At 36.3% G+C, this 26,032-nt stretch overlaps 1 protein-coding gene across 13 annotated transcripts in view; it reads right to left on the reverse strand.

Annotated features, from left to right (window-relative positions):
* Window positions 2,113-26,032, reverse strand: part of PNPLA8 (patatin like domain 8, phospholipase A2) — a 57,762-nt gene continuing 33,842 nt past the window's right edge. For 6 of the 13 annotated variants that reach the window (NM_001256011.3, NM_001256010.3, NM_001256008.3 and 3 more), the window contains 4 exons: window positions 23,106-23,163; window positions 19,455-19,649; window positions 10,880-11,075; window positions 2,113-4,371 (listed from right to left, as the gene is read on the reverse strand). In NM_001256011.3, coding sequence (NP_001242940.1) covers window positions 4,097-4,371; window positions 10,880-11,075; window positions 19,455-19,649; window positions 23,106-23,163 — 724 coding nt within the window. In that variant the 3' untranslated portion in view covers window positions 2,113-4,096. Of the gene's footprint in view, window positions 4,372-10,879; window positions 11,076-11,233; window positions 13,363-17,389; window positions 17,459-19,454; window positions 19,650-23,105; window positions 23,164-26,032 lie in introns of those variants that run through there. The other 7 variants (NM_001256009.3, XM_011516275.4, XM_005250396.6 and 4 more) reach the window with 5 other exon arrangements.

Below are 26,032 nucleotides of genomic sequence, written 5' to 3' on the forward strand. Positions count from 1 at the left end.
GAAAGAGAGACAGGAAGAGTTGTGGCTAAGACAATGGACTGGTCCTAGCTCTATCGCTCTCTAGCTGTAATTATCTTGGGCCACTTTTTCTAACAAAGGGATAATACTGCTATTCACCTTGTAGGCTTATTGTGACAATTTAACGTAACCTGCTGAGCTCAGTTCCTGGTACTCAGCAAGCACTCAAGTGTTAGCTATGTTCTAGTCACAATACTGGCACAGACACTTGTGAAATATTCAAAAGTGTGACTAGGACCATTTCTAGGGCATAGCGGGTTAGGTACAATTCTGAGCTTCAAACTTCAGAGGTCCTAGCTACCCCACTAATCAGCAGCTCAGCTGTTACTAGTTGCTGGGGGGAAAAAGCTCAGAGGGAGCCCCTCCCTCCTACCACCAAAACAAAGTTGTGAGATTCCCCTTTATGCCCTCAGACTGCATACTTTTGTGACTCCCTTTCCCCTCAAAAGATTCCTTTCAGGCCGGGCGCAGTGGCTCACGCCTGTAATCCCAGCACTTTGGGAGGCTGAGGCAGGCGGATCACCTGAGGTCGGGAGTTCGAGACCAGCCTGACCAACATGGAGAAACCCCGTTTCTATTAAAAATACAAAAAAATTAGCCGGGCATAGTGGTGCAAAGTACTCGGAATCCTAGCTACTTGGAAGGCTGAGGCAGGAGTATCGCTTGAATTCGGGAGGTGGAGGTTTCAGTGAGCCGAGATCGTGCCATTGCACTCCAGCCTGGGCGAGAAGAGCAAAACTCCTTCTCAAGAAAAAAAAAAATGTGGTTTAGGAAGAAGTAGTGCACAGTGTAGTTATAACCCAGGCTGGGCTCTCTCTACCCTCTAGGGGAAATCCCATCTAGCTCAAATGCCTCTAGGGACAACTCTATCTGAAGTACTTTTTTTTTTTTTTTTTTTTTTGAGACTATGTCCCACTCTGTCGCCCAGGCTGGAGTGCAGTGGTGCGTGGTGCTATTTTGGATCACTGCAACCTCCGCCTCTCCGGTTCAAGCAATTCTCCTGCCTCAGCTTCCCGAGTAGCTGGGATTACAGGAGCGTGCCCAACTAATTTTTTTTTTTTTTTTTTTTGAGACGGAGTTTTGCTCTTTTTGCCCAGGCTGCAGTGCAATAGCATGATCTCAGCTCACTGCAGTCTCTGCCTCCCAGGTTCCAAGCGATTCTCCTGCATCAGCATCCTGAGTAGCTGGGATTATAGGCACCCACCACCACACCTAGCTAATTTTTTTTGTATTTTTAGTAGAGATGGAGTTTCACCATGTTGGTCAGGCTGGTCTCAAACTCCTGATCTCAGGTGATCCACCCGCCTCGGTCTCCCAAGATGCTGGGATTACAGGCGTGAGCCACCGTGCCCGGCCTAATTTTTGTATTTTTAGTAGAGATGAGGTTTCACCATGTTGGTCAGGCTGGTCTTGAACTCCTGACCTCAAGTGATCCACCTGCCTGGGCCTCCAAAAGTGCTGGGATTACAGGTGTGAGCCACTGTCCCTGGCCATGAAGTACTATTTTAATAAAGAATAGTATCTGCAACAAGAATGGAACTGAAATATTACCAGTACACCATTTACTATTGAAATAAGACTTCTGAGACACTCAGGAAAACCTGAGCATTAAAACAATTTTTATTCTATATTTAAAAAATAAGAGTTGAGGAATTTATTACATTTATAAAATAGACCATTCCTCCTCTTTGCCTTTTTGAAAAGGGCAAATATTTTACCTGTATAAGACTGAAAATTCATTTTCACATCTGTTTCTATTGCCATCTTGTATTATTTGCAGAATTTACTTTTTGGGTTCCTTTGGATAAAGCAAGCACTGGCCTTGTTATAAAATGAGGGTTATCTCAGGTGAATTACAGTTCTTCAGATAACCAGTTTCAAGTACAAATGAGGACAAGAATGGCTGAAAACTGGTGCACCACACAACTGGGTTTGCCTTTTGTTTGAGAGTGAAAAGAGCTAAAGAAATAGGGATGGTAGGTGCCATGCTACGTGGTTTATATTAGGTGTCAGTAAAAAAAGAACTGAGTTGTATATATGGGAAACTTCAAAAAAAAAAAAAAAAAAAAAAGAAAGAAAGAAAGAAGCCATGGCCAGAGTTCACTTGTGTAATGTATTATTTAAGAAAGAAATAAGCCAAGCACAAATAAGGGACATACTTAACTTCAGCTGTAAAACAGATGAACTACATCAGTTTAGGACTAGAGTGACCTTATGATGAGGTGCAAATATGTAAATATGCATAAATATTACTTTATTGTGCTTGAAATTTGCTTTATTACGAAGAATTCCCAGAAATATTCTGATTTCCAATTATTTGTTTTTTTCTTGCATTTACAAGTTGTTCTTAGTTGCATGTTATTATGTATTATTTGTGGTCTGAAAGAACTATATTATCTTTAGAAATCATTGGTAGTTTCCTATTTTATACTATGTCTAAAGTTTATATAATTCGGATGTTAGAAAATTTTACAGCTACCTTTCCTCATTTTACAAATGAGATATGCAAAGCCTACAGACATTTGCCTTCCTCAAGGTAACAAACAGAAGGGTTCTTGCAGCAAAGGCAGGATTAGCATCCAGACTCTCGACTCCACTCTTTGAACCACATCTCACAGCCTCTGTGAATTGATATTGCAAAGAAGCAATATGACTATCTGGGCAACAGGGTCTAGCTTTAGTTTGTATGTCTAAAACAAGGGGCGCTAACCTTTGTTTCATTTTTCTTAAGAAATCAAAACATTCCATGTAAGGATTTATGTGACAAATAGATACAATAAAGATGAGTTTGTTTGGCATGAACAATGTTCCATGTAAGTGCATCTTACCAACTTCCATGAAATCCAGACAGTTCAAAGGAGTTAATAAGGTAAAACAAGCCTAACTTCTTCTTTTTTTTTTTTTTTTTTTTGAGATGGAGTCTCGCTGTGTCGCCTAGGCTGGAGTGCACTGGCGCTATTTGGCTCACTGCAACCTCCGTCTCTCAGGTTCAAGCCATTCTCCTGCCTTAGCCTCCCGAGTAGCTGGGACTATAGGTGTGCACCACCATGCCGGGCTAATGTTTGTATTTTTATTAGAGACGAGGTTTCACCGTGTTGGCCAGGCTGGTCTTGGACTCCTGACGTCAGGTGATCTGCCTGCCTCGGCCTCCCAAAGTGCTGGGATTACAGGTGTGAGCTACTGCGCCAGGCAACTAACTTCTTATTTTTAAGCATACTGCTGCCAGGTGTATTCAAAGGCTAAAGGGGAGCTACATTATGAACAAAAATTAATTTTAAAATGACATTAGCCTTTTAACAACAGATTATTTAAATAGTTTATTTTTGTTAATGATAGGAATATCTCCTCAGTAAGTTCAAACCATTTTATAACAGGGAAGAATAAGCTAGTGTTAGATCTGGAAAAGTTAATATAGCATTATCTTGAAATTTCAGGGGTAAAAAGTGGTTGACTGGAACTTCACCTTTTTTAACCAAACAATGTTAAAATAAACATATCTGAATAGAAAACTGTATCTGGTTCTTTTTTATGTCAAATGTAAAATACTTTAATAGAGAAAATTCCATTTTTCTGCATCTATTTAGATGATATTACAATAAAAGGCAGTGTGGATTGGAGAACATAGCTAGTGAGAATATTAGGTAATGTAAATTTAAGAAGAAATTAGCTTTTCCATATGAAATAAAATCAATGATCACATAAATTCAACATGATTATGAGGACTAAAGTAAAAATACACAGTACAATATAGCTTTCGGTTTCTTGTTCGGCACATATATTAATATATTTTCAAACATCAAACAATATAACACCAATATCTACTAAAATCTACTAGCACAGTAAGGGTTACTAAAGCTTAGCTAATTATTAACATCTTAAAAGCCTAGTTCCCATATGAATTCTGTAACCAAGAATATTCTCTGTGCTATGCAAGCTGGTTGAAGCACCGTCTTTTTCAGGATTCTCCAGAATTCATACGTATTTCAAAGTTAACTCATGTCGAACCCCACAATTCCTTATTGAATGTGGTTGATCTTCTAAACAGACCTTCATTTATGAGAACATAAGCATATACTCATCACAATTTTGAAAAGAATGGAAGTCCTTCATACATATCAGTTTTTAATTTTATCCAATCATTAATTTTCTGCAGAGTTGTTTTTTCTTGACTTAATATTTTTGCAACTTTTTTCATTTTTTGTTCATTTCTTTCTATGTATTTCAACCCTTCCAACTGCAGCTGATCCAGCTTTTCATTTCGACTTTCATCTAGAGGTATGTTTTCACACATTACAGGATTGAATCTAAAATAGGTGTCAGGAGGTAACAGGCCATCAAGCATTATATGGACTTCTGTTAAAGCAAAAAAGAAAAGGATAAGGGGATAAGAAAAGAGGGGATAAAGTGAGCAATGAACTGTTAATTTGTCTTTATTTAAAATTAACTTCTTTTTAGGCACATTACAAAGATTCACTAATTTCATTATTCAAACTGACAGTAGAAGTAATCCATAATAATGGGTAAAACTATAAGATAAAATTCATCTTCCAAAATACATTATTCTGTGAAATTAGTATACTTCTTCTATTCTCTCTGTGCTTTTGGTCATACTGTTCACCACTGCTGAAATGCCCTTTCCAACTTTCCTTTTTTTTGGGATCAACTTCATTGACATATCATTTACATCCAGTGCAACTCACCAATTTTAACTGTATAGTTTGACAAGTTTTGACAAATGTATACACTTGTGTAAGCACAACAATAATCATGACATAGCCATTTCCATCACTGTAAAAAGTTCCTTTAAGCCTCTTTATAGTTGGTGCCCACTTTCCCTTTCCTAGAATTTCATACAAACAGAATCAAAAGTATCTACCTTCTTTTATGGACAAAATACTTTTGAGATTCATCCATGTTGTAGCATATATCAATAGTTCCTTTCTTTTCATTGCTAAATGGTGTTCCATTGTATAGATACAACACAATTTGTTCTCTGCAGTTCTGGTCTGGCTCTCTTCAGTTTTTAGCTACTAGAAATAACCCGATTATAAACATTTACACATAAGTCTTCATGTGCATATGATTGCATTTCCCTTGGGCAAAAACCTAGGAATAAAATTGCTGGTTCATATGGTAAAGGGTATGCTTATTTTAAAAAAAACCTGCCACACTGTCTTCCATTTTTGTATTCCAACCACTAATATATTAGAGTTCTCACTGCTCTACATCTTTGCCCAAAGTTAGTATGTCAAGTCTTAAGTTTTGCATTATAGAGGTAGTGGTATCTTGTGGTTTAATTTTTATTTCCCTAATGACTAATTATGTTGAGAAGGTTTTCATGTACTTATTAGTCATTTGTATATCTTCTTTAATGAAGTGTCTGTTTAAATCTTTTGCCCAGTTTTTTCACTGAATTGCTGTGTCCTATATATATGACAGTGGTGCAATCATGGCTCACCGCAACCTCGAACTCCTGGGCTCAAGTGATCCTCCTGCCTCAGCCTCCCAAGTAGCTGGGACTACAGGTGTGTGCCACCATGCCCAGATAGTTTTTTATTTTTCTGTAGAGATGGGATCTCACTATATTGACCAGGCTGGTCTCAAACTTCTGGGCTCAACCGATCCACCCAAAGTGCTGGGATTACAGGTGTGAACCACCATACCCAGCCTATTATTTTATATATATATACATACATATGTTATATGAGAATTCTCTATATATTTTGAACTTGATTATATATTATACCTCATGATGGGTCAGATGCATGTTTTATCAATATTTTAGTGTATGACTTGCCTTTTCATTTTATAAAAAGTACCTTTTAAAGAGCAGAATTTGTAATTTGAAGTCTAATTTATCTCTTTCTTTCCTTTCTGATTCATATTTTCTATGTCCTATCTAAAAAAATCTTTACCCAAGGTCATTAAGATTTTCTCCAGCATATTCTTCTATATGTTTTATAGTTTCAGCTCTTAGATTCAGGTTTCCATCTAAGATCAGGAACAGGGTAAGATGTCTAGTCTCACACCTTCCAGTAAGCATTGTACTGGAGGGTCCTTTTCAGTGCCGTAAAGCATTAAAAGGAAATGAAGGGCATGTAGATTAAAAAGGAAGTAAAACTCTATAGACAACCTGGTTGCCTATGTTGACAATTTTGAGAAAGCTATAGAAAGCTACTAGAATAAGTGAGTTTAGCAAGTTTGAAGTTATATAAGGTCAATAAGAAAAATCAGTTGTATTTCTGCATATTAGCCATGAACGACTGTGATGCATTCCAAGTTACTTTTGTGTATGGTGCAAAGGGTCAAGGTCAACGCTGTGGATACAGGTATCTAATAGTCCCGGACCATTTGTTGAAAAGACTGTCCTTTCCCACTGAGTTACCTTAGCATCTTTGTAAAAAGTCTTTTGAGTTTACATGTATAAATCAATTTCTGGACTCTCTATTACATACCATTGATTTATATGTCTATCTTTATTCAAACACCACAGTTCCTTGCTTAATGTAGTTTTATAGTCTTTAAATCAGCAGATGTAAGTCCTCCAACTTTTTTTTCTTTTTCAAAATTGTGTCAGATATTCTAGGTCAGGGGTCCCCAACCCATGGGCTGCACAGCAGGGGGTGAGTGGCAGGGCCAGTAAGCAAAGCTTCATCTGTATATACAGCCACTCTCCATCGCTTGCATTACTGCCTCAGCTCCACCTCCTGTCAGATCAGTGGTGGCATGAGATTCTCATAAGACTGCAAACCCTATTGTGAACTGAGCATGCAAGGGATCTAGGTTGCGTGCTCCTTAGGTGAATCTAATGCCTGATGATCTGTCACTGTCTCCCATCATCCCTAGATAAGACCATCTAGTTGGAGGAAAACAAGCTCAGGGCTCCCAATTCTACATTATGGTGAGCTGTATACTTATTATATATTACAATGTAATAATACTAGAAATAAAGTACACAATAAATGTAATGTGCTTGAATTATCCCAAAACCATCCCTCCCCTCCCCGCCCCCATGTGCGGAAAAACTATCTTCCACGAAACCAGTCCTTGGGACCAAAGAGGTTGGAGACCACTATTCTGGGTCCTTTGCATATCCATATACATTTTACAGTCAGCTTGTTAATCTCTATCCCTCAAAAGCCTGCTTGGATTTTGACAGGAATTGTATTGAATCTACATATCAATTTGTGATGTGATACCTTAACAATATTGAGATTTCCAATTCATGAACACAGTACATGTATTGATTTATTTAGGTCTTTAATTTCTCTCAGTAATGTTTTATAGTTTTCACTGTTCAGATCTTGCATGTAGCCCACAAATTTTAGTTTCCTTGGCCTCCTTGAACTGCAAATTTTGTTTCCACAACTCCCACTGAGACTACCCCACTTTTCTGGTGCTATAGAATAGAAACTATGCTATAGTGTAGAAACTCTTTTCAGGCAGCAAGCTGGACAATAATAGTGATGACCTCATTCATTCTCCTTTCAGAGATCGCTGTCCTATGTTACCTGTTTTCTCATGTCTGAAAATCATTGTTTTGTCTACTTTTCTAGTTGTTTAAGGTAAGAGGAAATATCTGGTCCCTAATAGTTTATGATGTCCAGAAGAGGAAGTCTTAACTCTCTTTTAAAATGTCCAAATCCTATACATCCTTTAAGACCCATATCAAGTCTACTTTATGTCTTATAAGCTGTCTACACCAATCAAGTTTTCTCATTCCTTTTCTTAATTCATAGTCTTAATCACTTACAATCATTTACCATTTATTTAGCAATTCACCACAGATTAAACCCTATAAAATTGTTGTTTTTGTGGGCCAACAGCAATGTTGTTGTTATATCTTATAACAGCAATTCTTGTTATATCTTTTTCAAAGTTAACTAAGTTTATTAAATTTTTACTCATTTGTCTTATTAACTGGAGTGCAGGTACACTGAGGCAACATTTCATGTTTCTTGAAAATTCCAAATAAGCCCATTACATGGTTTGCACAAAGTACAGACTTAACTCTTATGCGACTGCCCGACTAAAGCCACTTGTCTCAGCAAATGGCTTATGGTAAGGATATTTTATTGAGCCATCACGGAAATGTGAATCAAAACCACAATGAGATCCCACCTTACACCTGTTAGGATGGCTGTTATAAAAAAGACAAGAGATAATAGGTGTTGGCAAGGAACTGGGGAAAAGGAACCCTTGTAAACTGTTTATAGGAATGTAAATTGGTACAGCTAGTACAGAAAACAGTATGGAGGTTCCTCAAAAAATTAAAAAGAGAACTACCATATGATCCAGCAATCCCACTCCGGGTATATGTCCGAAGGAAATGAAATTGTTATTTTGAAGGGATTGCTGCTCACCCATGTTCACTGCAGCATTATTCACAATAGCCAAGATATGAAAACAACCTGTGTCCATGGATGAATGAATGGATAAAGGAATTACAGTATATACACACACACAAGAATCCTATTCTGCCTTAAAAAAGAAGGAAATCCTGCCACTTGCGACAACGTGGATGAACTTGGAAGATATTCTGCTAAGGGAACTAAGCCAGACACAGGAAAATGAGTAGTGCACAGTAACATTTACATGTGGAATCTAAAATAGTTGAACTAAAAAAAACAGAGGAGAATGGTGGTTGCCAGACACTGGGGAGTAGGGGAAATGGAGAGATGTTGGTCAAAGGGTACAAATTTTCAGTTATGACTACCTACTAGAGATCTGACGTACAGCATGGTAACTATAGTTAATAACAATGTATTAAGTTTTGTTTACTTTAAATTTGCTACGGGAGTAAATCTTAAGTGTTCTTACCAGGCACACACAAAATAGTAACTACGTCAGGTGACAGATATGCTTATTAGCTGGATTGTGGGAATCATTACACAAGGTATACTTACAATAAAACAACATGTTGTACAACTTAAATATATACAATTTTTATGTCAGTCTGACCTCAATAAAGCTGGGAGAAAAAGAGTATTTTACTGATCTGGCAACAAAATTTCAGATAGTGAAAAATCTAGCACATGAGCTTTTTTTTGGTTTTCATTCAATGAATAAAAGTCCTCAGTGGGGAGTTTAAGATTCTCACTTATGTTAATGACTTGGCCAATAATATGCTGATATGAAAAGAATGAGATTCAAATACAAGCAGCTGTTAAGTGGTAATAATTTTTTTTAATTTAGTAAAACGTTTCACCCAATAATTAAAAACAAAATAGTAAAATGAGGAAATCTAAACCTCAAGGCAAGGCCCAGTGGCCCATGCTAGTAATCCTAGCACTTCAGGAGGCCAAGGCAGGAGGATCACTTAAAGTCAGTAGTTCAAGACCAGCCTGGGCAACACAGGGAGACCCCATCTCTACAAAAAAAGGTCTGAAAAATTAGCTGGGTGCAATGGTATGCACCTGTAGTCCCAGCTACTCAGGAGACTAAGGTGGGAGGACTGGTTGAGCCCAGGAGTTTGAGGCTGCAGTGAGCTATCATTGTCACTGCGTTCCAGCCTGGGCAACAAAGTGAGATCCTGTTTCTAAGAAACACACACACACACAAACACCTCAAGGCCAAAACCTGAAATTCAACATACACTCACTGAATGCCTACTATATGCCAGGCACTGGAGTCAACAGCAAACTGGGTAAGTCAAAGTAAACTGGATAAATTCTTGCCTTGCATTCTTGTTGGACAGAAGGATAATAAGTAAACAATCAAATATGTAATATATAATTACAATGAGATAAATGCTGTAAGAGAAAAAGAGAAAAAGAAGCAGACTGAGAAATTAAGAGTGAGATGATAAGGAAAATGGAAAAGCAGTCAGGAAAGGTTTCTCTGAGGTCCCTCTGACATTTCAACAGAGACCTGAATGAAATAAGGGTCAAGTGCCTATCTGGGGAAATAGCCTTATAGAGAGAGAGTACAGCAACTGCAGAGGCCCTGAGGCAGGAGAGTTCTTAGCAAGTTTGGTGACCACCAAGAATTATCCGGTGGTTGGACACACTGTAGAGAAGGTACACACTTGAAAGAGGGTTTTGAGAAGCAGACAGACATTATTTAATTTGTTTTTGGTTTTTTTTTGAGATGGAGTCTTGCTCTGTAGCCCAGGCTAGAGTATAGTGGCACAATCTTGGCTCACTGCAACCTCTGCCCCCAAGGCTCAAGTGATTCTCCTGCCTCAGCCTTCCAAGGAGCTGGAATTACAGGTGCACACTACCATGCCTGGCTAATTTTTTGTATTTTCAGTAGAGATGGTGTTTTACCACACTGATCAGGCTGGTCTCAAACTCCTGACCTCAAGTGATCCAACCGCCTCGGCCTCCCAAAGTGCTGGGATTACTGGTATGAGCCATCGTGCCCAACCTAATTTGCATTTTAAAAGGATGACTTTGGTCTCTGTATGAAGATTAAACTATAGGGGCAGCAAGAGTAAAAGCAAGAACACATTCTCATTCCAGTTTGCCTTGACAGTATTAAATAATTGAATGTCCTTTACTCTAAATCTTTGCTATCATGTATATGTTTGAACAAATCTGACTCCTTTTGTTGCTTTTCCCTTTCTTAACTGGCTTCAGAGTCTCCAACAAAATGTTGTGCTATCCAGCTTTAGGTACTTCTCCAACAGTAAGTGGGCAAAGGTAGCACTATCTCTCAAATGGAAAACAGTCTCTGTTCTAGAGTCACCTAACAAGAAACAAGTGAGAAAGGAAAACAACAAAATGTTTCCTCCCATGTACTTCCTAAATCCACAATACAGACATATCATATGCCTTTGCAGTTAGGACCAACAAATGCCACCAAAAAACTGCTAGAATGCTAGAAGTTGAAGTATTTTAAAGCAGCAAACAAGACTAACCTTCTGTATCTGTAGCACTGTTGATAACATTAGAAAGTTTAGTTTTCAAGCTTGTGTATGTTACCGTGTTTCTCACATCACTCTCATAACGTCCAGTGCCCAGGGATACTATGCACTCTAACGGCACATCTGGCCAAAGACATTTACACTCATGCATAGCTAATGCCGAAGGGTTATTCAGAAGCAAACCTCCATCCTGCAAAATACAAGTTAAAAAAAGAAACTTTTAAAACTGACTCACGGGGAAAGCTGAACTATGTAATAAGCTAAATAAATTATTTAAAACCAAGAGGTTCCTTAAAAGTGCATTTCTTTTATAGACTACAGCTGCAAAAAAATCCATGCGAAGACTCATTGGTCTCATAAAGAAACTTTTTATTAAGTTTTCCTTTCCTATTATGAAAGTTCTTTGAACTTCTTAAATTGCTTTGCATATTTTGCTAAAAAATATTGAAATGAACGAAATTACTTTTCAAGACACATTATCTTATTTAGTGGTTAATACAGGTTCTACTTAAAGCCTAACAGAAAAGAACTGTGGTTCTACCAAACAATTAAAATTAGTTCTTCTCTCACAAGTCAAATAAAACCAAATAATTCTAAGTTAGTTCAAATTCTATCAACAATACAATTTCAATGGATCACATTCATTATAATGCAGATATAACGTAAATAACAGAATAAACCTTATATTTCTAAGTATGTATCAATATCAATATTATTTTGAAGACTTCAAAAGGAAACAAAGGTATTAATAAAATATGCTGATAGAGCACTATAAAAATGTAGTAGAGTAAAAGTAGATAAAATTATGGTCAAACTATAATAAAATGTATTGTAGAACCATATTAAAATATATTACATCATAAACATTATATTGTATTTAAAATCTAGAAAAATACACTGAGCATGGTGGCTCATGCCTGTAATCTCAGCACTTTGGGAGGCCAAGGCAGGAGAATCGCTTGAGTCCGAGAGTTCAAGACCAGCCTGAGCAACATAGGGACACCTGGTCTCTACAAAAAAATAAACAAAATTAGCCAGGCATGGTGTACATGCCTGTAGTCCCAGCTATTCAGGAGGCTGAGGTGGGAGAATTGCTTGAGCCCGGGAGGTCAAGGCTGCAGTGAGCTGAGATCACACCACTGCACTCTAGCCTGGGCGACAGAGCAAGACCTTGTCTCAAAACCAAACCAAAATAAACCAAATAAAATCTAGAAAAACATATCTGATTTAAGATGTTTTAAGTGACTGCTCAGCCTCCTTCTCCTGTTCAGCTCCCATCCATGCCAGTTAACCGTCCGCTGAGTACACGGAAAGGCATTTCTTCAGTGGTAAACCACCTGAATAAACTCGAATGATTTTTGATGTCACTGGTGCTTGGCATCTCCCTGGAATCAGCACTATCACTGCTGAGAATTGTAACAGACCTTGGAATTACCCTAGTTCAGTCTCCCACATATAGCCTTAAACAGTTTTTGACAGAATACTTAAACATTTTCAGTAATATGGTGCATACAACCTTGTAAAGCAGCTCATTTCATTGTAAAATATTTTAATTTTTCAGATTATACAGTAAAATTAACTTTTTTGGTATGCAGCTCTATGAACTTTAATGCATATAGATTTGTGTAAATATTACCACAATCAAGATACAGAATAGTTCCATCACCCCCAAAAACTCTCTCATGCTATGTCTTTGTAGGCACCCCTCCTCCCACCCATAACCCTTGACAACCACTGATCTGTTTTCTGCCACTACTAAGGAGGTCATAGAAATGGAATAATACAGTATGGGACTTCTTTAAACTGCCTTCTCTTTCTGAGCATGTCATCGAGACTAATCCAAGTAGTTGCATGTATCAATAGTTTACTCCTTTTTACTGCTGATTGTATGGATGTACCACACAGTTCATGCATTCATCCACTGTAGGACCTCTGGGTTGTTTCCAGCATTTGACTGTCACGAATAAAAAAGTTGCTATACACATGTGAGTACAGGATTCTGCATGGACATAAATTTTCATTTCTCTGGAGTAAATACGAGTGCGATCGTTGGAGCATATGGTAAGTATACGTTTAACTTTATAAGAAACTGCCAAAACATTTTCAAAGTGGTTGTCCATTTTGCGTTCCCACCATCACTGTCTAAAAGTTCCAGTTGCTCTGCATCTTATTACAGTAATACTTGGTACTGTCCGTATTATTTTAACCACTTTAACAGATATGTGGTGGCATTTCATCATTGTTTTAATTTGTGATTCTCCAATGCCTAATGATGCTGGATGTCTTTTCACACCCTCATTTGCCATCCCTTTATCCTCTGCTGAAGTGTCTGTTCAAGTCTTTGGCTCACATTGTTAAATTCTGAGAGTTTCTTATATATTCTAGATATAACTCCTTTGTTGGACATGTGAATTTGCAAGTATTTTCTTCCTGTATGTCGCTTGTCTCCTCATCTTCTTGGCAGTATATCTGCAGAGCTAAATTTTTAATTTTGATGAAGTCCAGTTTATCAATTTTTAAATTTCATGTATGATGATTTCAGTATAATTGTAAGAAGTCTTCCCCCAACCCAGGTCACCAAGTTTTTCTTCTAAAAGTTTCATAGTTTTGTTTTACATTTAGAACTACGATCCATTATAAATTATCTTTGTATAATGTGTGAGGCTTAGGTCACAATTTCTGGGGTGTGTTTGTGTGTGTGGTGGGGGTCTAGGAGAAAAGACAGGGAGAGAGAAAGATGACCAATTGTTTCAACACAATTTTTGCTGAAAAGACTATCCTTTCTCCACTGAATTGCTTTTGTATCTTTGTCAAAGATCAAATGGCCATATATGTGGGAGTCTATTTCTGAACTCTCTATTTAATTCTATTTATCTACATATCTATCTTTATGCAAATACCACTCTGGTACAGTAGCCATGACTACTGTACCTTTAGAGTAAGTTTTTAAATTGACTAGTGTGATTCCTTGAAACTTTTTATTCTTTTAAAATTGTTTAGGCCAGGTGCAGTGGCTCATGCCTGTAATCCCAGTACTTTGGGGAGCTGAGGCAGGTGGATTGCCTGAGCCCAGGAGTTCAAGACCAGCCTGGACAACACAGTGAAACCTCATCTCTACTAAAAATAAGAAACATTAGCTGGGGGTGGTGGCGCACACCTGTAGTCCCAGCTACTCAGGAGGCTGAGGCAAGAGAATCACCTGAACCAGGGAGGCAGAGGTTGCAGTGAGCTGAGATTGTGCCACTGCACTCCGGCCTGGGCACCAGAGTGAGACTCTGTCTCTAAATAAATAAATAATAAAATAGTTTAAACTATTCTCATTCCTCTGCCCTTCCATATAAATTTTAGAATCTGACTATAATTTTTGAAAAGTCCTACTAGAGTTTTGATTGGCATTGCATTATATTTATGGATCACTTCAGGAATAACTCACATCTTTACCATGTAGCATCTTTCAATAATGGTATGCCTTTCCATTTCTTTAGGTCTTCTTTTATTTCTTTCATCTTCTGTTTTCAACATACAGATTCCCTATGTTTTGTCAGATTTATATCTAAGTGTTTAATTTTTTGGATCTACTGTAAACTGTACTGCTTTTGTTACAATTTTGGTTTCCAATTATTCTTTGCTTGTATATAGGAATATAATTGATTCTCCCAAGTAGTTTTCTTTGTGGAAAATCAACTACCCCCACCATTGGTGCTCTGGCTTAAAGGTCCCATTAAGAACATCATGTAGGATTTTGCCCTACTAATGAAGCATACTACTGTTACTAAAATTTCTCATGAAATGTGAAGAACACTCTTCATCTTTTCACAAATTTATGCTCAGTTATTTTAGAGGGAGTGGTAGTATTTTGCAAACCACAGATTATGATAACTCTTCATTTCTGGCATTATAAAATAACTTTCTCAAAAACTTGTATCCCAAATAATACTCTGGTTGGATCAATAAGATCACATTAGGAGGCAACTATTAATATATAGAAATGTTCCTAAATACTAACAACACTTCCCAGAGAAAGTTAATTGGCTCTTTAGTTATAGAATAGCCAGTCTGAGGCTAACAGACCTTTATTATGGCAAATGTCATTTATCACCAATGTGTAGCTTTGTGATACCCTTGAGATAACTGGGATATACAGGGCTGTGTTGACGTTCAGAAAAGCAGTTTGCCACGTCTTTCTATTGCTTGCTCTATTCTCCATTTTAGCATGGGTGGTTTGTTGCCACATTTACTTCAAAAACCTATTCATCCAACTACTCTTCAAAGTCACGCATTGAACTTCGTTATCAAAATAAATGGAATCATATAGTGTAAGTTTTTTTGGGTCTGGTTTCTTTTACTTAGAAGAATGCTTGTGAGATTCATCTATGTCTCTGTGAATGTCAGTAATTCATTCCTTTTTATTGCTGAGTAATATTTCATTGTTTGAATATACCATAGTTTATCCATTCACCAGTTGAAAAGAACTATTTTTAAATTTAGCTATCTTTATACATTTGTTGAAAGTCATAAATTGGATAGGTATTTATATTTGTATTGCTGAGCTTTGTAAAAATCTACTTAGATTCCTTCAATGCAGGTGGTAATAATTAAGCTATTTCCTAAAGGCCTTCTCAAGTACAAATTTTAACTTAATCCTTTCAACTTTTTCCTTTGTTTTCAATTAACAGATCATTAGAATGATACTTATCCCACAACAGAGGTAACATTTAATTTCTAATTTGGCAGAAAAGTTATTTTTTTACTAAACCATTTAAACCTTAAATTTTATATTTGTTATACTCTGTGTAACTTCTAATCAAGTAGGTATTTTAGATGAAACACATTTTCATTATATAAAAGCCTATATAAGGATGATCAGAAAAGACAAAAAAGGGAAAAGATGAAGAGGCAAACAAATTTTAGCAAGAAACGATAACTGCAAAATCAATCCCAAATCAAAAAACTGGCAGGTTTCCTGTAGTTGTGCTAACCATTTTTCAAAGCAAATTTCTGTTCCTTCAACTTTACTCACTTTTTATCAAAAAAGTACAGCAGTTAAGGTTTCTGGGCTCACTCTAATCTAGTGGTGAAGCATACTATCTTTTAAGCTCTGCTTATAGTTAGCCTACTCTTGTCAGATGGCTATTCTATCAGTAGGTCATTGGGCTAATATTAGGTCCATGGTAGTTCCTGTAGACCACATCCTGTTAATATTTTTTCTTTTTTTGGTAGAGACAGGGTCTCACTTTGTTGCAGCAGGCTGGTCTTGAACTCCTGAGCTCAAGCGATCCTCCAGCCTCAACCTCCCAAAGTGCTGGGATTACAGGTGTAAGCCACTGTATCTCAGCACTACAATCTATTTCCAAACATTTTTATCACCCACACTCTGTAACCATTAAGGAATCACTCCCCATTTTTCCTTCCTCATCCCATTTTCTATCCCTAATCAATGACCCATTTTTTATACATCAAGTCAGATGACAACTTCTTTGTTAAGCTGACCCTGACAGAATAAATCACCTCTATAGTACTTCTTAATCCTGTACATATATTGATGATTAAATTTTTACCTCATTCTATAACTGGGTTTACATTCTTTTTGTCTGAACTATTTGAGGGCAGGATCCAGGAAGCACAAACAATATGCCAACTATGGTTAAAAATCTTTATATCCTTCCCAGCTAGCACAGTGCCTAACACTGAGTAAGCACTCACTACATTTCTGTCCAGTTATAATGAAAATTATTAATTGTGGTTTGGTATAGGCATAATTTGGCAGGTGTTGGGGAGGCTCTTTCTGCTAAAAACACTCTTTACCTGGAATGTTTAAATAAAAATTTCATAATTTATTTATGTTTATGTATCCTAAGCTCTGAACAAAAACTTTTGTGATGTAAATAAAGCCTGGTAGGAATAATATGTATATCAGAATTGGTCATCAAAACCTCTAGTGTAAACTAATTTATCAGATTCTTTCTCCAAAGACAGGAATGAACAATTTAATTTTGAAGGTGGAGATGGAAAGAGAGAAGGAATAATTTTGTTTAAAAAGTAGTACTTCCATGTACATATTATGCTACTACTTGGGCAGATAGGGAGAGATTGGGAGCTACTCACAAAGAATTCTTCTCACTTTATAATTTTCTAGGACTTGTAATGAACCTTATAAATGTTGTAATAATCTTCTTCTTATAGTCAAAGGCAAATGAATCTCCCCATTCACCTACACATAACTCTTAATTATATCACTACTTTCAATAATTGCTCAAATAGAATATTAATTAACCTCTACTACAATGGATACCAAGTAACTACATTAAAACATATGTCAGATGTGACAGCTAAAAGGGATTTTCAAAATGAGACTGGTAATAATTGAATATAATTATTAAAAGAATTTAGGATGAGAAGGTTGTAGTACTATACTTTAAACTTGGCAAAACTTCTGAGTGGTTAGAAAGAATTAGGACTTTACTTGAACGTTTTCTTTGTTTAAGCAACCAAGATCATTCACACCTTAAAATATTCCCATCAATCTTCTGAGTTGTCATTTGAAGTGAAAAATATCCCATTTCTTCTTCAAGTCTTGGAAGAGAATACAGAGTAAGAAAAATATTTCCTTAAGTAGGTTTCTTAGGCTCTAGATTCCATTTTAATATTTTTATTAATTAAATGTGCCAAAGTTTCTGAAGCTTATTGATTTATATGAAAGTACATTTTTTGCCCATGTGGCAATATGCTTTACATAAAAATTTATGTAAATTATAAATAACATTTATTTATTCAAATAACCTTAAGAAGTTATTTTAATCTGTGGCTCAAAATAAGTTAAAGGATTACGGTCATCAATATAAAAATGTCTAAGCGTGAACAGAAATATCACTAATCTATCTGAAATGGAAAAGGAACCACTGAATTACTTTGGTAATATATATTCAACAGTACTGAATTAAACTTTAGAACTACTTTCTTTTGGATAAAGAATAAAGAGCAAATGAAATAACTTCTTTTGAAGTGTGGAAAACACAAGATCCCCAAATGTAATTATTTAGTATTTGAGACTTTCACTAATTGGCATAACTGCAAGTTTGTAGCACTATTAAGGTTATAACTTAAAAATTCTATTATATTTTACATACACTGTCTAAATTATTTCTCAATTTATGACATGGTACATAAGAATAGGGGAAATCGTTGTTAAAAATAGTAAGCCACATATTAAAATAAAAATTTTATTTTGACCAATAAGTCCTGAAATCAGTATCAGAAACTCAGCAGCCAGTACTTTCTGCCCAGAGTGGGTGGAAGAAAGAGAAGAAAGGCAAGAAGGGGAAGTGCCTTAAATAATTCAACAATGACTGATTCTGCAAAGTAAGAAATGGTTTGAACTGACTCCAAAGACAAAGGAATCCTATTTTAATCTCTTAACTACAAATATTATATTACTTAAAGATTAAAAAGAAAATAGGAATAGCTGGCCATAACATTTTAAAATATATATAAGCTATTGTATCAAAATGAGATAAAATTGATAAAAATGTTTTAGTTTAAATGATCCATTAGAAAGTTTTGAAGTTTATATTGCTGACATGTTGTTTATATAGATCTATGTATGAGTTTTTGAATGCCGTCTTAATATCTCTGTCAACAGCGTAAGATTTTTTTCTCAACAGATATCTGACCAAATAAAGAGAGTAGACGTACTTTAGGGACTAGAGAAAAACGTCAAGATTCCTCTCATTCTACTCCATCAAATGAGACTAATTTTAAATGAGACATAATATAAAAAATTATATATAAAAATGCAAGCTTTCAAAGTATCAGCTCTAAAGCTTTATTAGCATTTAGTGTAAGTTATGAATTAAGATTTCCATAAAGAGTTGGAAAAACTTGACAGAGGAAAAGCATAAATGAGTTTACATAAAAAGAATTTCCAGAAATAATATTCACTTTTACAGCTAGTGTACACATGAATTTAAAAGAGTATAATTACGGACAACATCCTAACTCTGTAACTTAACAGCTGTGATGCTAGTCCAGTTACTTAACTTTTCCTAAGGTGCGAATTCCTTGTTTGTAAAATGGAAATAACTCTACCTCGTAAGTAGCAAGGATTAAATGAGATAATGCATGCACAGCACTAAATAAGTGTCTGGCACACAGCTAACTTAATGAGTATTTACTATTATTTTACTGTATCCCTTTCTTCAAAATATGCCCACCCAAACTGTCAAGCAGACTGGGTTCTGCATTTTCAGGGAGTGTATATCGTTTTTACTTTTTATCATGTTTGGAAAGCTAATCATACATACTCTCACTTTTCCATCATAAAATTATCATAATGGGCTACGAATCACACTATATAAAACACAAAAACTTTCTTAAAATATGTTTGCATGTCAGAGGCTTGTTAAGAAAAACAACAAATAAAAATATCCTAAATTGTTCTTCTTTTGAGATATGAAGACACAAAGAAGAAAGTCTCCTAGGTTGATCCTTCTGAAGATCAATGACATTTAATAAGTGCTGATTCTTTTAATCATGTAAAATTTAAAAAAATAAGACATACAAGTCAACTTACTTGATGAAGATCATTTCCCAATGCATATTCTGCAAAGTAGCCTGGAGCAGCAGATGAGGCTCTAATGGCCTGCCACATTTTATACTGACAGCCTCCCAAATAATGAGAGTTGATTCCAGGAAAATGACCATAGTTTCTGAACACAAAAGCTTTGGGTGTTATCCCTCTATTTACTATGGTACTTACAGCAGCTACCTAGTGAATGAAAAAGTGAACAATTCCATCATTAACAGTAATATATTTGGGATCTGTAAAAATTAAATACTATTTAGTAGTATGAATGAACAATCTACAACTATATGTGTAACAAATATAATGCTGAAAAAAGAGAATCAGATCTTTTTAAACAGGCATTTCTTTGTGGGATAATAGATATAAAGACTGAAGCAATTCTGAGAAATTTATTATGAGAATAATAATAAAAGAGATTTATTTGACCATTACTCAATTTGATTAAAAAAATATTCAAAAAGGCAAACATTTCTAGACCTTTACATAATAATTGACAAAACAGTAGTAATGAATAAAAACTGCTTAAAGGCTGGGCACAGTGGCTCACGCCAGTAATCCCAGCACTTTGGGAGGCCAAGGAGGGTGGATCACTTGAGGTAAGGAGCTCAAGAGCAGCCTGCCCAAAATGGTGAAACCCCAACTCAACTAAAAATACAAAATTAGCTGGACATGATGGCAGGTGCCTTCCAGCTACTCGGGAGGCTGAGGCAGGAGAATTGCTTGCCCAGGAGGTGGGGGTTGGAGTGAGCCGAGATCACGTCACTGCACTCCAGCCTGGGTGACAAGAGTGGGACTCTGTCTCAAAACAAACAAAAAAAACTGCTTCAAGATAAGCACACTATTTTCATAATATCACTTACAAATTAGTCTTTGTTTCTGTGCTCTTTGAAAGTATTTTGACTTCAATAACTCTGAAATGTAACACTACACAATCAATGCTTTCAGGTCACAATTATTAAAACCTGGTAGTTGGGTAATGTTTATTAAAAAACTATAATGTCAACCATCTCAGGTCTCAAATTTTATCACTGTCAGTTAAATTTACATGAAATGTGCTGTTTTATTAATGATCTGTAATACAAACTTAAGAGGCTGACAGGTATTGATGAGGCCAAAGTTAGTGTCCTGTGCCAAGTCCTGCCAATTGTTTTGATATTTAATAAACAAAGGTCACATGCCAAATTCCTGTGAGTAATCCAAGTCTGTCTCTAGGCCACTATGGATAGGCGTTGGCCATATACTAAAATCCAGAGTCTTTCTATAGTTGGCATATAAATATGGTTGGATTAAGAAAACATATGAGTGGCTCTCCATTTATCATGATGATTTACTTCTTAAGATGGCTAAAGTTCCCCATAACTTTTATTCAAAACTGACAACTTCATAATTTAAACCAAGCAAACAAACAAGGAGCCTTGGAGATACAGGGGAACAAGCAAGAAGCATAGAGTGCACCCTAGTGTCCTCTCAAAAAGAGCTAAGTCATCTCTTCATCACAGCCTCTGAGGCCCTGCGTCTGATCTAATCGGCCTACTGCTCCAGCCTCATTCCACATGCAGCCCTTGGATTCCGAGGCACTAATCTTTAAGAACTCTATCATTTCCTGGAATTCTCTATAACTCTTCCTGCACAGGCCATTCCCTTTGCCAGGAATGCTGCTACTCAATGGCCTTCACATTGACATCTCAAATCTCACTTCCTTAAATTAGCTGGCCCTCATGTCTCTTTAAAAATATGCTTTCAAAGAACTGCTTTTATGCTCCATAGCACTTATGTATTTCAGGGAAACTACTACATGTCATCTGTGTGATTATTTCATTAATACCTATGTTGCCCTACAGAGCTGTGAACCCCATGTCTGCATTTGCCCACAAATGAATCCAAAGTGCCTAGCAGTGGGTGTATAATTAATACTTGCAGAATGAATCAAAGTATGAGTATGCCATAGTTAAGAGCAACAGAAAGAGCTGCACTTGTTTGATTTTTCATGGTTACAGTTCGTTATCTGAGAATAAATACAAGCTGCATGAAATTTCTAGGCACATAAATTCTATTCTTTAAACAAGTAATATTAAACAGAACTCAAGCAACACTCAGATCATTGGGTTTCAAACACACAAATAAATGAAGAGCCACATTGAGACACATCTAAGTGACATTACAATTTTAATGGGGATTCAATTTTTATAATAATATAATCTAATATAGTCATGCATTGCATATCAATGTTTTGGTCAATGATGGACCGCATATACAACAGTGGTCCCATAAGACTATAAACGGGCTTCTATGCTGTATTTTTCACTGTATCTTTCTATAGATATTTTTTATCTAGATATTTGTATATCTGTAGATACGTAAGTATTCTTATCATTGTGTCACAATTGCCTACAGTATTCAGTATAGTCACCTGCTGTACAGGTTTATAGCCTAGGAACTATAGGCTATACCATTTAGCCTACATGTGTAGTAGGCTATACCATCTAAGTATGTCTAAGTACACTCTATAACACAGGTTTATAGCCTAGGAACTATAGGCTATACCATTTAGCCTACATGTGTAGTAGGCTATACCATCTAAGTATGTCTAAGTACACTCTATAATACTTGCACAATGACAAAATAATCTAATGACACACTTCTCAGAATGTATCCCTATCATTAAGTGATGCATGATTGTATTGTATCTAAGAGGCATATAAAATTTCTCTTTAAAAATCTAGGGTAAGAAGGCTGGGCGCGGTGGCTCACGCCCGTAATCCCAGCACTTTGGGAGGCTGAGGTGGGCGAATCACGAGGTCAGGAGATCGAGACTATCCTGGCTAACATGGTGAAACCCTGTCTCTACTAAAAAATACAAAAAATTAGCCGGGCGTGGTGGCGGCTGCCTATAGTCCCAGCTACTTGGGAGGCTGAGGCAGGAGAATGGCGTGAGCCCGGGAGGCGGAGCTTGCAGTGAGCCGAGATTGTGCCACTGCACTCCAGCCTGGGCGACAGAGCAAGACTCCGTCTCAAAAAAAAAAAAAAACTAGGGTAAAAAATGTCATAATGTTCCTTAAATCACTAGATTTGATTTTTAAAATTATGATGAAATAATTCTTATTTTCAGTCCATCTTTCATGTTCTTCCATTTCTGGTATAGTTTTACCGAATTTATAAAAGGTATAAGGATGATATCCCATCTCTTCATAGAATGACTCAATATATAAAGAATTAATACAATCTGTAATACCTTAATAAAAGGGCCCTCAGGGCCGGGCACGATGGCTCATGCCTGTAATCCCAGCACTTTGGGAGGCCAAGGCGGGCAGATCACCTGAGTTTGGGAGTTTGAGACCAGCCTGACCAACATGAAGAAACCCTGTCTCTACTAAAAATACAAAAAAATTAGCCAGGCGTGGTGGTGCATGCCTGTAATCCCAGCTACTTGGGAGGCTGAGGCAGGAGAATCACTTGAACCTGGGAGACGGAGGTTATGGTGAGCCGAGATCGTGCTATTGCACTCCAGCCTGGGCAATAAGAGTGAAACTCTGTCTCAAAAAATAAAAATAAAATAAAATAAAATGGCCCTCAGGACAAGTGCTTTCACCAGACCTTCAGATGGAACTAGGTGTTATATTTAAGAGACTCTAAGCTTACCTTAGGACATGTGGGGTTTCTTGCTGTTTCAATCATCAGTGCAGATCCCATCCTATCCCTTTATTAAAGGAGAAAAAAATAAGTTATATCAAAATGACTTTATCTCCTAACAACCAGGAAACATACAGTATGCAATTACTATTTGTCCATGGCTTTGTCAAAGTGCTATGAAGGAAAACATGTAAGACTCTCCTCTAGGAGGCTTATAATTCCATTAATGCACATGAAACAATATGCAGTTATTTATCAACCTCTGATTCAAACTGCAAGTATCTACAGTTCTGAGGTGGAGCAACGAACAGAGGGGCAGTAACTGGAAAAGATGCAGGAAGGTTGCTGGAGGAAGACATTGAAAGACTGCAAGGCAACATATTTAAAGCTAGGACATATACAGATTAAAGGCACAAAGGCAAAATAAATCTGTTGTTTTCAGGGTCCTGCCAATAGGATAAAGGAGCTGTGTTGAGATAAGACTGCAGAAGTATGCACGGGCTAGTTAGAGTAACCAGGTGAGGACAATGAGACTTTAAGCTTGTTTTAGTTGGTAACAGCCAATGTCATCAAGAAAATGGCTTTGAAAATCATCAGAGTTGGCATTTGAATTACTATGACATTACAGAAATTGTCCTTGGGCAGCAATTTTTGCAATTCCATAATAAGAGAATTTTATTTCAATGCAGACTTTTCCAGACTTAAAAATTATGTATTTTCCCTATATTGAATACAAAGACTATGGTTTCACCAGCCTTCCTCATGAGTAAAACCATTTTCTAATGTGTTTTTCAAACAATACTCATGTTTCCCAACTAGAATATTAGTGAACTTCATAAAAAGAATATTTACAAACTGCTCAGTGATCTACCCTTTATAAGCTTTAATAAATATCAATGTAAAATACTTTCCAAAATGGACAAGATCTTTTGTCTTTCCCAACCTGATCTATACATTTCTACTACATAAAGATCAATGCATTTTATCTTTTTAAGGTTCTTTGTCTTTTCACAGAATTCTTACTGTAAAATTACAAGAGAAATCCTAGGAGCATGCTGATTTCACACTTTTTGGCAAAGTTCATATTTATTTATTTTTATATTTGTTTAAATCTTGGTTTTCTCAAAACCTAAAATGCTTTTAGTGAATTCACTTATGAATATAAACTTGTAAAAAAAGCAATGGTAATTGTTTATTTCCGAGATGTCAAAATATGAAAAAAAAATCAACATGCCTAGATTCTACTGATGGCATAAAATAGTTCCCTTAAAATAACACAAAATTATCACAGCAAAATAAATAAATAAATAAAAGTCCTCTCAATAAACAATGGGCGAAAAAATGCTACGACAAAAAAGGCCAGAAGGTAGATATAGAAGAATATTAACAATACTGGCACCCAGTGAATCACAGTCCTGGTATCCATGTCATTGTATACAGTCTCTTCCTATACAGACTCTTGGTTGGCATGGCTTTCGTCCATGTGACCTCAACAAACATGCCATTAAACTGAGGCTTGATAAGTGCTTATGCACTGGGGCTTGCTCTCTGGGAACTCTGAAACCACAATGATGAGACGAAGCTTGGGTGAGAATGACCAGGTGGAGAGAGAGGCTTCCCAGGCCCATTGGTAGAGCCACCAAGTGAGCTCCGGCAAGAACAGAAGAAACACCCAGTCAAACCACAGAGTCATGAGACTAAATCATCATTGTTTTAAGCCACTAAGTTTTGGAGTGGCTTGTTCTGCAGCAAAGGCTGAGTTTGAAAAAGCAGAGAAAGAAAAAACAACTAACGACACTGATAAAATTTATCAATGCCATGATTAAAAATAAAGAAGTTGCCAGAAGAGCAAAAATGAGACAGCAATACATAAATATGCAAAGATACTCTCATAAGTAACAAAAGGAAAAATTTCATAGTAGAGAAGCTGGTTTTAGAATAAATTTTTAAATTTTCATTAAATAATAAAAAGTATTGATTGTATGAATACTGGGAATAGATATGAATTTTATATATATATATTTTTTGAGACGGAGTCTCGCTCTGTCGCCCAGACTGGAGTGCAGTGGTCTCAGCTCACTGCAAGCTCCACCTCCCAGGTTCACACCATTCTCCTGCCTCAGCCTCCCCAGTAGCTGGGACTACAGGCGCCCGCCCCCATGCCTGGCTTTTTTTTTTTTTTTTTTTTTTTTTGTATTTTTAGTAGAGATGGGGTTTCACCGTGTAGGCCAGGAAGGTGAATTATATTTTCTAATTGACACAAAAGATGTGAAAATAAGTAACATACAATGATAATGGATGGGAAGCTTTCACGATTGGAAAGATGTCAATGTTCCACAAAATAAGTGATACATTTCATGTAATTTCCATCCAAATACCAGTGGAATTTTTTTTTATGTGATAAAAGTAGCCTAAGATTAACTTTGAAAATTAAATGAAAATTGTGTAAAAGAATAATGAGAAAAGATTTGCTATGCTGTATCATTATAAAAATATTATGCCAAGGTTCAACAACTAAATCTACAGAATTTGTACGAAAATAAATCCACAGAGAAACCAAAAACTTGAACACAGATTCTAATATAGATAAGAATTTCAAATATGATAAAGATGATGTTTCAAATCAGTTAAATAAATGGAGCTGGGACATTTGGATTAACATCTGATTAAAAAAAAGCTTGATTCTCTTACAACACATATCAAAATAAGTTTTAGGTAACTTCAGAATTACATATAAACTGAAAACTTTAGAACTAGGAAATAATACAAATATTTACCTACCTTCAGAGTAGAAAAGACTTATTTATTTATTTTTAAATTTAAACTTTTAGTATAAAGAGTATGCATGCAGGTTTTGTTACATGGGTAAACTGTGTGACACTGAGGCTTGGGGTCCCAACAATCCTATTACCCAGGCAGTAAGCACAGTACCCAAC

The sequence above is a fragment of the Homo sapiens genome, chromosome 7 (genome assembly GCF_000001405.40).
Source record: "Homo sapiens chromosome 7, GRCh38.p14 Primary Assembly".
In the NCBI taxonomy this organism is placed as follows: domain Eukaryota; kingdom Metazoa; phylum Chordata; class Mammalia; order Primates; family Hominidae; genus Homo; species Homo sapiens.